Genomic DNA, 15987 nt, shown 5'->3' with positions numbered 1-15987 from the left:
TGACCACGGGGCTGGGACTATGAGAGCTATATTTCTACTTTGCCAGTTGGCTTCCTGTTAGTTCTTCAAGGCAGAAGGAGTGAGACAGGATATGCTTCCTTCCTGACAAGTGGCTATCATTTCTAACACTCAACTTTTTTTTGGCATTCCTAGAACCAGCCTCAACATGTCTCATCAATGAGCCAGCAAGAGTTAGGCAGTGGCCCCTCCTCAGAAGTCTGAGATGCCTCTCCTTTAAGTTTCCTTTGGTGCAAACTTCCTTTTGTGTCCTCAGCCATAGGAGTGGTAGCTTCTTCCTATAGTTACTATATCTATGTTCAATATCTGCCCCGACCTGTTTTTTTGGTTTTTTTTTTTTTTTTTTTTGCTTTTTTGGTTCCCCAAAACTCCGTAGCCAATTCCTTATGTTAAATTATCTCTGTTGAAATACCAAGTGTGGTTTCTGTTGTTCTGGCTTTATCCTGACTGATACAATCATCCTGCAAGTAAAGAACCCAAACCATTTGCAGTCCTAGCTAAAAGCAAAGGAAATATGGAATAAGTGGTAGAAAAAGGAAATGATAAAAATCAACTTCATCCTTGCGACTTTTTATAGCAACAAGAATTGTAGCATTCACGTGTATTTGTTATGTATCTATTAACCAACGATTTCTATTTTGTCCCCTTCCCCTTCCCCTTCCCCCACAGTTTTGCATGGAAAGTGTCAGTGGTTGCTTAATTTACAATTTAGTTCGTAGGTCACCAGGCCACAAAAAGACACATCCAGACCTGATGGGAAGGAATGAGGATCACCAGTAGATCCCAAACTTGAGATGGATACAATGATTGATGGGACTTGGTGTCTCTCCTCTTGTTTGTATGACAGACAGAAGTATGATGGTATTAAACATGGGTAGAAGGGTGAACTTGAATGCTGAGTAGCAGAAGGGGTGAACAATATGGATTCTGAATCCATTTGTCCTCAAATGCATTCCTTGCCCTTCCCTGCTCTGTTTTGTATCGCAAGGGGTTGATCCATTGACTGCGATTCCCAGACTCATATCAGCTGGTTTCTCAAAGATTGGAGGATGAGGAGGGAAGGAATAAACCAGCACATTTCTCCCCCTTCCTCTTCTAACTCAGTCACTTCTCTGGCAGTGACTGCATCTCCTCAGCAGCTCCAGTTCTCATCACACAGGTCCGTAGAGGCCCTAGCCTCCAGTAAATGACCTCCAGCTCCAGAATTCAGTGATTCTTGTCTTCTTTTGTCTTTCCAGGCTACAGGCAATGGTTTTCTGTTGTTACTAATATCTGAATTGCTCCCCTTTCTCCATTAGGTGCTCAGTTCCTCCAACACCTGGTAACCACTTTCCTGCATTAAATTTTCCCTGTTGTAAGTACTAGAAATGATTGCTATTTTCCTGATTGTCCATATTAAAACAGATGATAGATAATCCCACTCTAGATATATTATAATACTAAACTGATACTCTACAACTCTACTACTTCTGAGAATGTTTACGCAAATATACCTACAAACCTATACAATGAGGTTCATATGAAGTTATTCACTGCAGTATTGTTTGTAAAGCCAAAAATGAGAAACAAACCCAAGACATTTTCTATAGGGCATTGGTTAAATAAATATTGGTACATCTACAGAGCTGAAAAAAAGGACTCTTCCTATGCACTAATATATATCATGCAGCGAGGAAAGCAGAGTACAGAACAGTATCTGCTGTTCTGAGTACAGTATAGAATGGTATTTATAAGCCATACAGATGTATTACACAGATGTAGTAACAGATACATTATCTTTATTGAAAAAGTAATAAAAATTATAAAAACGCATAAAAAATAAAAAAGTGCAACTCAGTCACTAAATGGTAAACATTTCTGATATCAAAACACTCTATAAAATTGTAGGAAAACAAAAGGTGAAAAAGAAAGGAGAGAGAGCAGATACACAGAGAGCTACAGTCCTCCTTTATGTAACTGGTCAAGAAACCATAGTGGATATTGTAACTCCCCTCCTCTACCCATTCAAGTTTAGGTTGCCTTTGGCTAGCTTATGCCAGTTAAGGTTCTTTGCCTGGTGGACTGACTCAAACTTTGACTCCTGAGGTGCCCAAACCCACTTTGTTTTTTGGTAACCTTAGTAACTGGGCATTGGAGTATACAGAAGCACCCCATTGTAATCCCTGCTTTATAGCAGTAACCCTAATTTACCTTTGAAAATCAGGGCCAGTCACACCAGCCAATACTAGAAGAGTTTCTTCTCTAGCTGGGAACTGAATTTCTGATTGATCACAATGCTTTACAAAACATAACAATGGTGCCCAAAAAGTATTCAGTAATTTCATGTATTATATCAATGGCAGAATTATGACAAGCAGAAATGACAAATCTAAACACAGATTAAATATCAATTTTGATGATGATAAAATGTTTCTCTGGCCGGGCGCGGTGGCTCATGCCTGTAATGCCAGCACTTTGGGAGGCTGAGGTGGGTTGGATCACCTGAGGTCAAGAGTTCGGGACCAGCCTAACCAATATGGTGAAGCCCCGTCTCTACTAAAAATACAAAAATTACCCGGGTATGGTGGCATGTGCCTGTAGTCCCAGCTACTCGGGAGGCTGAGACAGGAGAATTGCTTGAACCTGGGAGGTGGAGTTTGCAGTGAGCTGAGATCACGCCACTGCACACCAGCCTGGGTGACAGAATGAGACTCCGTCTCAAAAAAAAAAATATTTCTCCCAGAGCTTCCAAATAAAGAAGGCAGATTGAACATAAAAATACAGTTTTAATCTCTCCGAAGCCCCACTAAGCTACAGTAAAGGGATTAAAAAAAAAAACTCACAAACTCACAGAGAGAAAAAAGAGACAATAGCAACAAAATTGTGGAGACTGGAAAACAGAAAAATGACTTAGGATACAGTAGGAAAAGCCAAAAACTAAGCTGATGTATACCACAGAATCTTCTAAAGGCTCAGGAACCAAGTGGACTTTTGGAAGTGGGGTGGGGGAGTATCAAATAAGGATTGGTAGAATGCAGTTTTAAAATAAATTCTCCACTCCTTGATTTTGGGCTGTACTTAGTGTCTTGCTTCTAAAGAATAAAGTATGGAAAAAGAGTAACTAGGAAACCTTTCAGACACCACCTTAACCAAGTGATCAAGGTTAACATCAGCACTCATAGTCACGTGGATATCATGCACCCCTCATATGATGCAATGGAAAGGGCAGTTCACCTCTGCAGTATTCTTCCCCCAAACCCATATTCCCAATCTAATCATGATAAATCCCAATATCAGACAAATCTAAGTTAAGGGGCATCCTACAAAATACCTGGCCATTATTCTTCAAAAATCCCCAAGGCCATGAAAGACAAGACCAAAAAAACTGGCACAGATTGGAGACTAAGGAGTCATGATGACCAAATACAATGTGATATCCTGAAACAGAAAAAAAGACATCAGCAGAAAAACTGGTGAGATCCTAATAAAGTCTATGGTTTAGTTCATAGCATCATACTCATGTTAATTTCTTAGTTTCAATAAATGCACCATGATTATGAAAGATGTTAACAACAGGTGAAGCTTGATGAAGAGTACACAGGAACTCTCTGTACCATCTTTGCAGCTCTTTTATAAATCTAAAATTATTTCAAAATTAAAAAAAAAATTAATACAAAACTTAAAAGGAGGTAGATCTGTAGTTCCCCTCTCTTACTCATGACATTGAGCAACTACCCCTGCAGAAGACTAGAACTGGTGATCTCTGGAATACAGAATGATAGAAACAGCCGTGTGGCTGGACACAGTGGCTCAAACCTGTAATCTTAGCACGTTGGGAGTCCGAGGTGAGAGGCTTGCTTGAGCCCAGGAGTTTGATACCAGCCTGAGCAACATAATGAAACCCTGTCTCTACAAATAATTTAAAAAGAAATTAGCCAGGTATAGCATGCAGTGGTGGTCCCAGTTACTCAGGAGGCTGAGGCAGAAGAGTCACCTGAGCCCAGGAGGTTGAGGGTGCGGTGAGCCTTGATGACACCACCACACTCCAGCCCGGGTGATAGAATGAGATCCTGTCTCAATAAAAAGGAAAAAGAAAAAGTAAAAGAAACAGCTGTGGGAATAATTACTCTACTGGAAAATAGGAGCATGATCTGAACATGTGCATACTTAATGCTAAGACTCAATGCCAATCTTAGAACTGGGCGCCTAGGCCCCATACATTACAGGGCCCTATGTATCATCAAGAGAGGGCTATCAACTTATGAAAAAACACACTGGTGTATGTCACTCACCATCCAGCACTCAGAGCTGCCACAGTGCAATCTATAACCTTAAACATTCCCTTTTGTGACACTAACTTCATTTAGGCTCCAAGTAAATGTTTCTCCACAGCTCTTGCTCAAAATAAAAGGTGACTGGCTGGGCACAGTGGCTCACATCTGTAATCCCAGTACTTTGAGAGGCCAAGGCAGTTGGATCTCTTGAGGTCAGGAGTTTGAGACCAGCCTGGCCAACATGGTGAAACCCCGCCTCTACTAAAAATACAAAAATTAGCCAGGTGTGGGGGCACACGCCTGTAATCCCAGCTACTCAGGAGGCTGAGGCGCGAGAATCACTTGAACCCGGAAGGCAGAGGTTGCAGTGAGCCAAGATCACACCACTGCACTCCAGCCTGGGCAACAGAGCGTCTCAAAAAAAAAAAAAAAAAGAAAAAGAAAAAAGGTGACTACCCTGGCATTCTATGTAGGTGTGTGAGTTGTGCCTCTGCTGTCCAAGACTGTGCTTTGGACAACAGAGAAAATTTGGACAAAAGTAGAAACACTTTAGTAAGAGAAAATACAAATAGTTTGACAAATCCTTCCTCTCTGAGAGCATGAATGAAATAGATACTTTACCAATGTCTCAGAGTGTCAAATGTCCCTTTTTTTTTTTTTTTGGCTTCTCTTCAGGTTTCACTTGGAATATCCAGTGATAATCACTGATTGCTATACTATTCAGCACTGTTATTCATGGTAGCTGAGAAACAGTCTGTAATATTAAACAATTCATATTACACTTAAAAAATGTTTTTTTTAATTTTTTTTAGAGACAAGGTCTTGCTCTGTCATCCAGGCTGGAATGTAGCGGCAATAATCATATCTCACTGCAAATTCAAATTCCTGGGCTGAAGAGCTTTTCCCACCTCAGCCTCCTGACTAGCTGGAACTATAGGAATGAGCCACCATGCCTGGCTAATACCTTTTTTTTTAAGTCTGCATCGCACTACGTTGCCAGTGTCAGAGGCATTTAAGCCAGAGTGACTCCATCTTTAATAGGGGCTGGGTAAAATAAGGCTGAGAGGTACTGGGCTGCATTCCCAGGAGGTTAAGGCATTCTTAGTCACAGGTTCAGACAGGAGGTCGGCACAAGATATAGGTCATAAAGACCTTGCCAATAAAGTAGGTTGTGGTACAGAAGCTGGCCAAACCCACCAAAACCAAGATGGCAACAAGAGTGACCTCTGATCATCCTCAATGCTCATTATACACTAATTAAATGCATTAGCATGCTAAGAGACCCTCCCACCAGCACCATGACAGTTTACAAAAGCCATGGCAACATCAGGAAGTTACCCTATATGGTCCAAAAGGGGACTGGCCGGGCACAGTGGCTCACACCTGTAATCCCAGCACTTTGGGAGGCTGAGGTGGGCAGATCACGAAGTCAGGAGTTCAAGACTAGCCTAGCCAATATGGTGAAACCCCGTCTCTACTAAAAATACAAAAATTAGCCGGGCATGATTGCACACACCTATAGTCCCAGCTACTCGGGAGGCTGAGGCAGGAGAATTGCTTGAACCTGGGAGGCAGAGGTTGCAGAGAGCTGAGATGGTGCCACTGCACTCCAGCCTGGTTGACAGAGTGAGACTCTGTCTCAAAAATAAAAATAAAAATAAATAAATAAATAAATGGGGGAAGAACCCTCAGTTTCAGGAATTGCCCCCCTTTCCTGGATAACTCATGAATAATCCACCCCTTGTTTAGCACATAATCAGGAATTAACCATAAAAATGGCCAACTAGCAGCTCAGGCTCTTGCTCTGCCTATGGAAGTAGCCATTCTTTTATTCCTTTACTTTCGTAAAACTTGCTTTCACTTTACTCTGTGGACTTGCCCTGAATTCTCTCTTGTGCAAGATCCAAGAACCCTCTCTTGGGTTCTGGATCAGGACCCTTTTCCTGTAACACCAGAACTGATCTTGAACTCCTGGCTTCAAATGATTCTCCCTCCTTGGCCCCTCAAAGTGCTGGGATCAGAGGTATGAGCCAACCATGCCCAGCTCATATTACTTACTCATGAATCTATGCGTGTATATGTCTAGGTGTAATAAGTATGAAGCAAGTTATTCTCTTTAGCATAGTGAGTTTGGGGGTCCCAGTTTTATACTGACATTTGGGTGTTAATTCTAGAGTCATAATTAGTTTTATTTTTATAAGATGTTTACCAGTATTTAATTAAATTTTCAAAACAAATTAGAAATTCCAGCTTTAAATATTTTATTTAAATTTTTATATTCATTTACTATAATTAGTATTATAAACCAAAAATAAAATTCTAAACTCCCCAATCAGCTGATGGACCCTCCCCTCGGCCAAGGGCATTCCAGAATTAACCTGAAAAACCAGTTCAGGCCATGATGAGAAGTGGGGGTCAGACATGCCTCATTATACCCTCCTTGCTTTGGAATTCAGGTACAGCTGACCAGCATTAACACTAAAACGGAGATCTTAAGACTGACAAAACAGACTTTTTGTAGCAATAGGACACCAAATTCCAGCCTGATTCTAGTATAGCATCACATAATGGATAGCAGACCCTGAAAGAAATTGAAGTATTTTACCCCAAAATGTATTTCTTTGACATATTTTGAAGTGGCCCTGCAAAGCTGTCTCTTGTGGGGAAAATCTGCATTCTATAGAGAATTCCCATTCCTTTTCCAGGTCTTTTTCCTGATCCAGGAGAGAAAATTAACTAAGAGAGTAGCACCTTTTCAGGTCTGATAAGAGCTCTGAAGCCTGCTACCTGGAGGCTTCATCTGCATGATAAAACCTTGGTCTTCACAACCCCTTATTTTAACCTAGACATTCCATTCTATTGATTCTAGGTCTTTAGATAATAACTCTTTCAATCAATTGCCAATCAGAAAATCTTATGACCTGGAAGTTCCCTCCTTCCCCTCCCCATCTTGAGTTGTCCCACCTTTCCGGAACAAACTAATGTATATCTCACATGTAATAATTGATGGTGTATGTCTCCATAAAACCTATAAAATAAAGCTGTAACTTAACCACCTTGGGCACATGTTCTTAGGACCTCTTGAGACTGTGCCTCAGGCCATGGCTACCCTTATTTGTTTCAGAATAAATCTCTTCAAATATTTGACAAAGTTTGGCGCTTTTCATTGACACATTTAAGAATGATCATTGATCATTTAAAAATGATCCAACGACTGCATATGGAGCATGAAACTAACTGATTAGCTTCACTCGGGGGGAAGAAAATAGCCTACACAATGGAACACTTTTATTAATTACTGTATTTCCACTCTGTAAAAACATGGTAACTTTTATATTTTTTAAAAAGATAAGTACCACTACAACTGAATTCTAATCACTTAGTTGAATACTAAGCATAACTTAATTATATTACTGTTTGAGGAAATATGTTTAAAATTATCCCTTAATTTTATGAAATGCAGATTATAACATATACTGTTTTCCAGGATTTAGTGAATAGTTTGTCTTTTAATTTTCCTTTCAGTCTATGTACATTTAGCCAATAAATAATAAAAATAGAACCAACCACAGCAATAGCTGTTAATTTCTTTTCTCCCAATTAAGAAACAATTTTTATTTCTCTACCAAGAAATCACTGTTTACAAGAAACATGAGATAATAAGAAAGTCACTTTGTTTTATCTTTCCAAAAAAAAGGGTAAGTGAAAGGGAAAAAGCAATCTTTTTTTTTTTTTTTGAGACAGAGTCTCGCTCTGTCACCCAGGCTGGAGTGCAGTGGTGCGATCTAGGCTCACGGTAACCTCTGTCTCCCACATTCAAGTGATTCTCATGCCTCAGCCTCCCAAGTAGCTGGGATTGCAGGCATGCACCACCACACCCAGCAAATTTATATATATATATTTCACCAGGTTGGCCAGGCTGGTCTCAAACTCCTAGCTTCAAGTGATCCACCTGCCTTGGCCTCCCAAAGTGTTGGGATTACAGGCGTGAGCCACCACACCTGGCCAGCAATCATTATTTCTTTAATTCCCAAATATGGTTTGACTAATTTTTAGTAACCACAACCCCTACATTCAGTATAGATTAAAAGAATTCTGATTTCTAGATCATTTTAACTTTTCAGGAGCTATTAATTGTATCAAGAATAAACTTTTAATTTATATTTTGTTAAATCTCAGTATTTACCATAAAAAACATCACATGGCATTGAGAAGCACAAAAAAACACTTAAACATATAAAGGGATATATCATGTTTTTGGCCCTTCAACCATTCATGCAATGCTGACTTCCATCAGAGATTAGCTTATTTAAGCTTGTCATTAAATATCCAGAGACTCTCTGGTTCCCTCAACTAGTTAACTAGTATATTTGGAATTTCTCTTTCAATCTGAGCCACTTGCCATCTTTTCTCTGCTTTTCAAATTCTATCCATCACTTTCGCCTATGCGTTTCCTTTACCTAGACAGGACCTTGTTGGGCTGGGCGCAGTGGCTCACACCTGTAATCCCAGCACTTTGGGAGGCCAAGGCAGGTGGATCATGAGGTCAGGAGTTCAAGACCAGCCTGGCCACGATGGTGAAACTCCGTCTCTACTAAAAATGCAAAAATTAGCTAGGCGTGGTGGCAGGCGCCTGTAATCCCAGCTACTCGGGAGGCTGAGGCAAAGAACTGCTTGAACCCGGAAGGCAGAGTTTGCAGTGAGCTCTGATCACGCTGCCAAGTCTTTCTGTCCTCAGTGATATAGCCACTGTAATTTCTACACTATTTTTCACCGCAGCTACCTTGCTCTAGCATTCTGAGGGTTGGGCTGTAGAAAAATATGCACAAGCCTCTGCTATACTCAGCTCATCTGTTCACTACAATGTAGGTCAACTGTCCTTAAACCAAACATAGGTTCCTGAAAACTCTTTCCAAATTAAAATAATGAAGCATTTATGATGTCTTTTTAGGAAAATTTACTTCATCTCCAATTGATAAAGGGAAGTTCTCTTTTAATAGAAGAATGTAGATAATAATTGTAGAAGAAATGATACATCGGAAAAATCACCATTTGCCAATGCCCACTCCTCAGTGAAATAATTGATTCAGGTAATGATCATCAGTGGCTATAAAAATTAGCAAATAAAGCAAATACAGCAAAATGATAGCACCTATCAAATCTAAATGATGGGTAAATTCTTTCAACCTTCCGTATGATTAAAAATTTTTCAATTAAATATTGGGGAAAAAAGTCTCTCAATTTAAGATGAAGTTTTTCCCAGGAGGATCCATGTTACCTTATAAAAAGGGAACTCTGATGACTGACCCACCAGTCATCTAGGCATGCCCAGATATATCTCCCAATGTGAACTTCTAAGGTAAGTACAGCTTAAGTCTGAGCTCAGAACCCTGCCACACTTGAGTCGTAATTTCTACCTTGTCCCTTCCTCTTTCTGATCCTTTCAGCTCTGCTTCCTCCCATCTGTCTTCAGCAAGATCCTTGAAAACACGTATCGGTTTACTATTGCATAAACACAACAGAGTGCAAGCCAGCACCATCCGAGGAGTTTTTCAAAATGTACACGCCCAGAGCCTGACTCTCATATATTTCAATTCATTAAGTCTTGAGTGGGGCCTGGGCACATCATTTTGGAAACTGTATCCAGATAATTCCGATGGACCTCTCTGAAAGAGAACTATTTCTATGAAGTTATCTTTAGGTTTTTACCAAGTGAATCTATACACATAAGAAGAAATTTAGAAATCAAAAAGAGAAATATCAAATTAGGAAACTCAAAAAGTTCAATTTGCTGTGGTAGTTATTTTATTTTATTTTATTTTTGAGACGGAGTCTCGCTCTGTCGCCCAGACTGGAGTGCAGTGGCGCCATCTCTGCCCACTGCAAGCTCCACCTCCCGGGTTCACGCCATTCTCCTGCCTCAGCCTCCTGAGTTTTTGGGACTTCAGGGGCCCACGACCACGCCTGCCTAATTTTTTTTGTATTTTTAGTAGAGATGGCGTTTTGCCGTGTTAGCCAGGATGGTATCAATCTCCTGACCTCGTGATCCGCCCGCCTCAGCCTCCCAAAGTGCTGGGATTACAGGCGTGAGCCACCGTGCCTGGCCGCTGTGGTAGTTATTAATGCTGCTCACTTATGTCTAATTCTCCTCTCTTTCCTAAAGCCCTTGAAGTTAGACCTGGTCATGCTACTGGCTTTGACCAATGAAATTATAAGCAGCAGTGGCACTTGTCACTTCTAAAAAGAAATATTTAAGAACCAGTGCAGAAGTCACCATTTCCCTTTTTTTCTGCCTTGGCCATGATAAAACATACGGCAAATGGAGCATCCCTCAGCCTAGATTCCTGGGTGACTATAATGAAAGAAGTCTCCCAGTCAAGCCACATAGGACATAAAATGGAAATGAGAAATAAACTTGTTTGTGATAAACTAAGGATATATAAAAGTTGTTCATTAATGCAGCAAACCTAGCCTAACCTGACTGATAAACTGGCAAATCTGTTTTTTCACAGAGGTAAAGCCATTTAGGAGAATCAGTTCTCTCTTCACCAATGACTAAAAATTTACACAGAGAGAGTTGAGTAAAGGAAAAGAAGGGAACTTCAGGGCCAGGGAGACTTAAGTTTAAATCCATGTTGTCACCTATTTGTAATAATAAAAAGAATATACAATGACTGTGTAATATACAATTACTTTTAATAACCACTAACATTTATGAAGTACTCACTCTGTACCAGCCACTGTGCTGAGCACTTTACATGAATTATTTCACTTAGTCTTTCATTTTACAGATGAGAAAAATGACATTAAAGGAGTTAGATAACTTGCCTAAGGTCACAGATTTAGGAAATGGTGGAACAAGAATACTAACACAGGGAATTAGGCCACAAAGACTGTGCATTTAACTATTACTCTGTACTGCCTTCCTGTGTGACTTTGACCAAATTAGTTGATCTCTTTGAACCTTAGTTCCCTCAATTTAGAAGAGGGCTGAGAACTATAATGCAGACTTTTTGCAAAGATTAAAGGAGATAATTATATAAAGCTATTAATATGATTACTGGCATCTAGTAGACCAGGCAGTCTATTATTTTATGGACATGGTAGCCATTATTTTATAGTAGCTAATATTTCACTCATTCACCTCTTCTCTATAAACAGAGAATAGTCAATATAAAGAAAGGTAAAACATGAATGTAACTTGTAAAGGTAACTTGTCATGGCTTATGGGAATTTAGTACTGTAAAATGATAGGTAACACAAATACAATAATCAAACCTTACATTACAATGCTTGCATTACTTAATGGCCAATATTGAACTGACCATTGCTGACTTCTCAAAACAGGTTTTTTTTGTTTTGGTTTGGTTTGTTTTTTTTTGAATTGGAGTCTCATTCTGTCACCCAGGCTGGAGTGCAGTGGCATGCTCTCAGCTACCTGCAACCTCTGCCTCCCGGATTCAAGCAATTCTCCTGCCTCAGCCTTTCGAGTAGCTGGGATTACAGGCACATGCCACCATGCCTGGCTAATTTTTCGTATATTTAGTAGAGATGAGGTTTCACCATGTTGGCCAGGCTGGTCTCCAACTCCTCACCTCAAGTGATCCACCCACATTGGCCTCCCAAAGTGCTGGGATTACAGGCGTGAGCCACTGCACCCAGCCAAAATAGGTTTTTAAAATAAAGATACAGTGTACAAATAGCACCCATAAAACACCCAATAATACAGTAACTGGACCCAGTAGCTCCACAGCTATTATGCTGAAGACCCAAGAAAAAATATTTCAAGGGTAGTAGGAGGATATTTTATGGTCAGCTAGTCCCAAATGACATACTGGGATCAATTCATTAAATATGAAGCTATTTGTTATGTATCTTTTATTTGTTTAACTTCCTCCTTTCTTTTGCTTCCTAATGGTATATATGTTTACAAGAAGCTTTTTTGTCTGGCAGGATCATCAGTGTTTATATTCTAAGTCTCATTCTTAAAAATCAATTTAAAGTTATGTAAAAAGGATGCCTGATGTGAATTCATTCAAGAGTGAAACAGATTGAAGTCTGGGTGGCTTACTGATAGCATGCTTTTTAAAAAAATCAACTTTATTTTTTAGAGCAGTTTTAAGTTCACAGCAAAATAGAGCAGAAAGTGCAGAGAATTTTCTTTTATGACTTTTGCTCCCACACACACATACATACACATACATACACACACACACACACACACAGCCTCCCCACAATTAACACCTCTTGCCTTTGTTACAATCAACTAGCCTATATTGACATTTTATTATCATCCAAAGTCCATGGTTTACATTAGAGTTCACTTTTGGTGTTGTACATTCTATGGGTTTTGACAAACACATAAGTACATTCATTCACCATTATAGTACCATATAGAATAGTTTCACTGCCCTAAAAATTCCCTACATTCTTCACAGTTTTTCCTCCCTCCCTCCAATCTCTCACAACCATTGACCTTTCTACTGTCTCCATAGTTTTGTCTTTTCCAGAATGTCATATGGTTGAAGTCATATAGTATATAGCTTTTTCAGATTGGCTCATTTCACTTAGCAATGTGCATTTAAGATTTCTCTATGTCTTTTCACAGCTTGATGGCTTCTTTTTCTTTTCCTTTTTTTTTTTTTTTTTTTTGAGACAGGGTCTCACTCTGTGCCCAGGCTGGAATGCAGTGGCACAAACATGGCTCACTACAGCCTCTCCTTTCCGGGCTCAAGCAATCCTCCTCTCTCAGTCCCCCCAAGTAGCTGGGACTACAGGCACATGCCACCACGTTTGGCTAATTTTTGTATTTTTTGTAGAGATGGGTTTTTGCCATGTTGGCCAGGGTGGTCTCGAACTCTTGGGCACAAGTGATCCATCCACCTCGGCCTCTCAAACTGCTGGGATTATAGGCGTGAGCCACTGCACCCAGCTGATAGCTTATTTCTTTTTAGCACTGAAAAATATTCCATTGTCTGGATGTACTACAGTTTATTCATCCATTCACCTACTAAGAGACAATTTGGTTGCCTCCAATTTTTGACAATTATGAATAAAGCTGCTATAAACATCTGCATGCAGGTTTTATGTGGACATAACTTTTCAACTCATCTGAGTAAATACCAAGGCTCATGATTACTGGATTGTATGGCAAAAGTGTGTTTAGTTTTTTTAAGAAATTGACAAACTATTTTCAACAGTGGCTGGGTGTTTAGTTTTTTAAGAAATTATCAAATTGTTTTCTACATGGCTGGGGTTTGGGCCATACTCCTGAAAGATACAATTGCAAATGCTGTAATATCAAATGTTGAAATCCCAAAAGATCAAAATCCCTAAAGTCTAAAATCCCAAAAATCCTGATCCTGATAGACCAAAATCACAATATAATTCTGGAAAGATAATTAAAAAACAATTTTTTAAAGACATTTACTTACATTTGTAAAGGAGGTTTGTTTGAGAAACATAAAAACACAACCGAACACTTCATAGGCATTTGAGATTATGGCATTTGGGATTTTGTCTTTCGGATTATGATTGGCACTGTGTAACGGCTCTACCATTATGCATTCCCACCAGCAATGAATGAAGAGTTCTTGCTGCACCAGCATTTGGCATTTGATGTTGTTAATGTTTTGCATTTGAGCCATTCTAATATGTATGTAGTGGTATCTCGTTTTAATTTGCAATTTGCTAATGGCATACAATGTCGACAATTTCATATGCTTATTTGCTATCTGTATGTCTTCTTTGGTGAGTTTTTAGAGTACTTTGGACCCCAGTCCTTTATCAAATGTATTTTGCAAATGTTTTCTCCCAGTCTGTGGCTTGTCATTTCATTCTCTTGACAGTGCTTTCACAGATTAAACGTTTTTAATTTAATGAAGTACAACTTATCAATTATTTCTTTCATGGATCATGCCTTTGGTGTTGGATCTAAAATATTCACCTCAAACCCAAGGTCATCTAGATTTTCTTCTGTTATCTTCTAGGAGTTTCATAGTTTAGCATTTTACATTTCAGTCTATAATCCATTTTGAGCTGATTTTTGTGAAGTTTAAGATCTGTGTCTAGATTCATCTTTTTGCATGTGAACATCCCCTTGTTCAGCACCATTTGTTGAAAACTTATCTTTTCTCCATTGTATTCCCTTTGCTCCTTTATAAAAAAAATCAGTTGATAGTATTTGTATGGGTCTATACCTGTGCTCTCTATTCTGTTCCATTGATCTATTTTTCTATTATTTTGCAAATACCATACTGTCCTTATTACTGTAGCTTTATAGTAAGTCTTGAAGTCAGGTAGTGACAGTCCTCCAACTTTGTGCTTCTTCAATATTATGTTTGCTATACTAGGTCTTTTGCCTGTCCTTATAAACTTAAGAATCTGTTAATAGGCCGGGCACAGTGGCTCACGCCTGCAATCCCAGCACTTTGGGAGGCCGAGGCGGGGGGATCACGAGGTCAGGAGATTGAGACCATCCCGGTGAACAGGGTGAAACCCCATCTCTACTATAAATACAAAAAATTAGCCGGGCGTGGTGGCGGGCGCCTGTAGTCCCAGCTACTCGGGAAGCTGAGGCAGGAGAATGGTGTGAACCTGGGAGGCGGAGCTTGCAGTGAGCCGAGATCGCCCCACTGCACTCCAGCCTGGGCAACACAGTGAGACTCCGTTTCAGGAAAAAAAAAAAAAAAAAAAAAGATTCTGTTAATATCCAGGAAATTATTTTCTGGGATTTTGGTTTGGTCTGCCTTGGATCTATACATCAAGTTGGGAAGAAGTGATGTCTTGGTAATATTGAGTCTTCCTATCCATAAACATGGAATCTCTCTCCTTTATTTAGCTTTTTATATGTTCATCAGAGTTTTATAACTTCCCTTATAAAGGTCTTACATATTTTTGTTAGTTTTATGCCTAAGTATTTAAGTTGGGGGTATTATTGTAAATGGGATTTTGGTTTTAATTTCAAATCTCATTTGTTTGTTGCTGGCATATAGGAAAGCAATTAACTTTTGTATATCAACCTATTTTTGCCACCTTGTTATCATTGCTTATTAGCTCCAGGAGGGTTTTTTTGGTCAATTCTTTCAGATTTTCTACATAGATAATCATGTCATCTGCAAACAAAGGCAGTTCTATTTTCTTCTTCCCAATCTGTATACTTTTTACTTCTTTTTCTTGTCTTATTGCATTAGCTAGGACTTCCAATAAATATGATGTTGAAAAGGGTTGGTCAAAGGAGACGTCCTTGCCTTGCTCCTGATCTTAGTGGGAAAGCTTCAATTTCTTACCATTAAGTACGATGTTAGCTGAAAGATTTTTGCATATGTTCTTTATCAAGTTGAGTAAGTTCCCCTCTATTACTAGTTTGCTGAGAGTTCTGATCATGAATGAGAGCTGGTTTTTGTCAGATGCTTTTTCTGCATCTATTGATATGATCATGTGATTTTTCTTCTTTAGCCTGTTGATATGACAGATTACATTAATTGATTTTCAAATGGTGAACCAGATTTGCATTATTAGAATAAACTGCACTTGGTCATAATGCATAATTATCTTTATACATCATTGGATTGGATTTGCTAATATTTTGTTGAGGACTTTTGCATCTATGTTCATAAGCCATATTTGTCTGTAGTTTTCTTTTTTTCTAATGTCTCTGTCTGATTTTGGTATTAGATATTAGAGTAATTATGGCCTCATAAAATGAGTTAGGAAA

At 39.2% G+C, this 15987-nt stretch overlaps 1 long non-coding RNA gene across 11 annotated transcripts in view, besides 1 other annotated feature; it reads right to left on the bottom strand.

Annotated features, from left to right (window-relative positions):
- The window catches only part of LOC102723324 (uncharacterized), a 93479-nt gene that overhangs the window by 69712 nt on the left and 7780 nt on the right, over positions 1-15987 (bottom strand). For 5 of the 11 annotated variants that reach the window (NR_187157.1, NR_187151.1, NR_187150.1 and 2 more), the window contains exon 3: positions 12351-15729. The exons of 4 other annotated variants lie outside the window; for them this stretch is intronic. This is a non-coding gene — a long non-coding RNA (uncharacterized LOC102723324). Of the gene's footprint in view, positions 1-1774; positions 3436-12350; positions 15730-15987 lie in introns of those variants that run through there. 2 more of the 11 variants (NR_187160.1, NR_187152.1) reach the window with 2 other exon arrangements.
- Positions 6475-7421: an enhancer, noted in NCBI's record as "OCT4-NANOG hESC enhancer chr9:124148517-124149463 (GRCh37/hg19 assembly coordinates)". NCBI's record gives its function as "activates a minimal SCP1, AML or CMV promoter by ChIP-STARR-seq in primed H9 embryonic stem cells {active_cell/tissue: H9 hESC(primed)}" and the evidence as "EXISTENCE:reporter gene assay evidence [ECO:0000049][PMID:30033119]".

This window comes from Homo sapiens, chromosome 9 (genome assembly GCF_000001405.40).
Source record: "Homo sapiens chromosome 9, GRCh38.p14 Primary Assembly".
Lineage (NCBI taxonomy): Eukaryota > Metazoa > Chordata > Mammalia > Primates > Hominidae > Homo > Homo sapiens.
The sequence above is the reverse complement of the archived record's forward strand: the minus strand, read 5'-3'. Positions and strand labels throughout refer to the sequence as shown.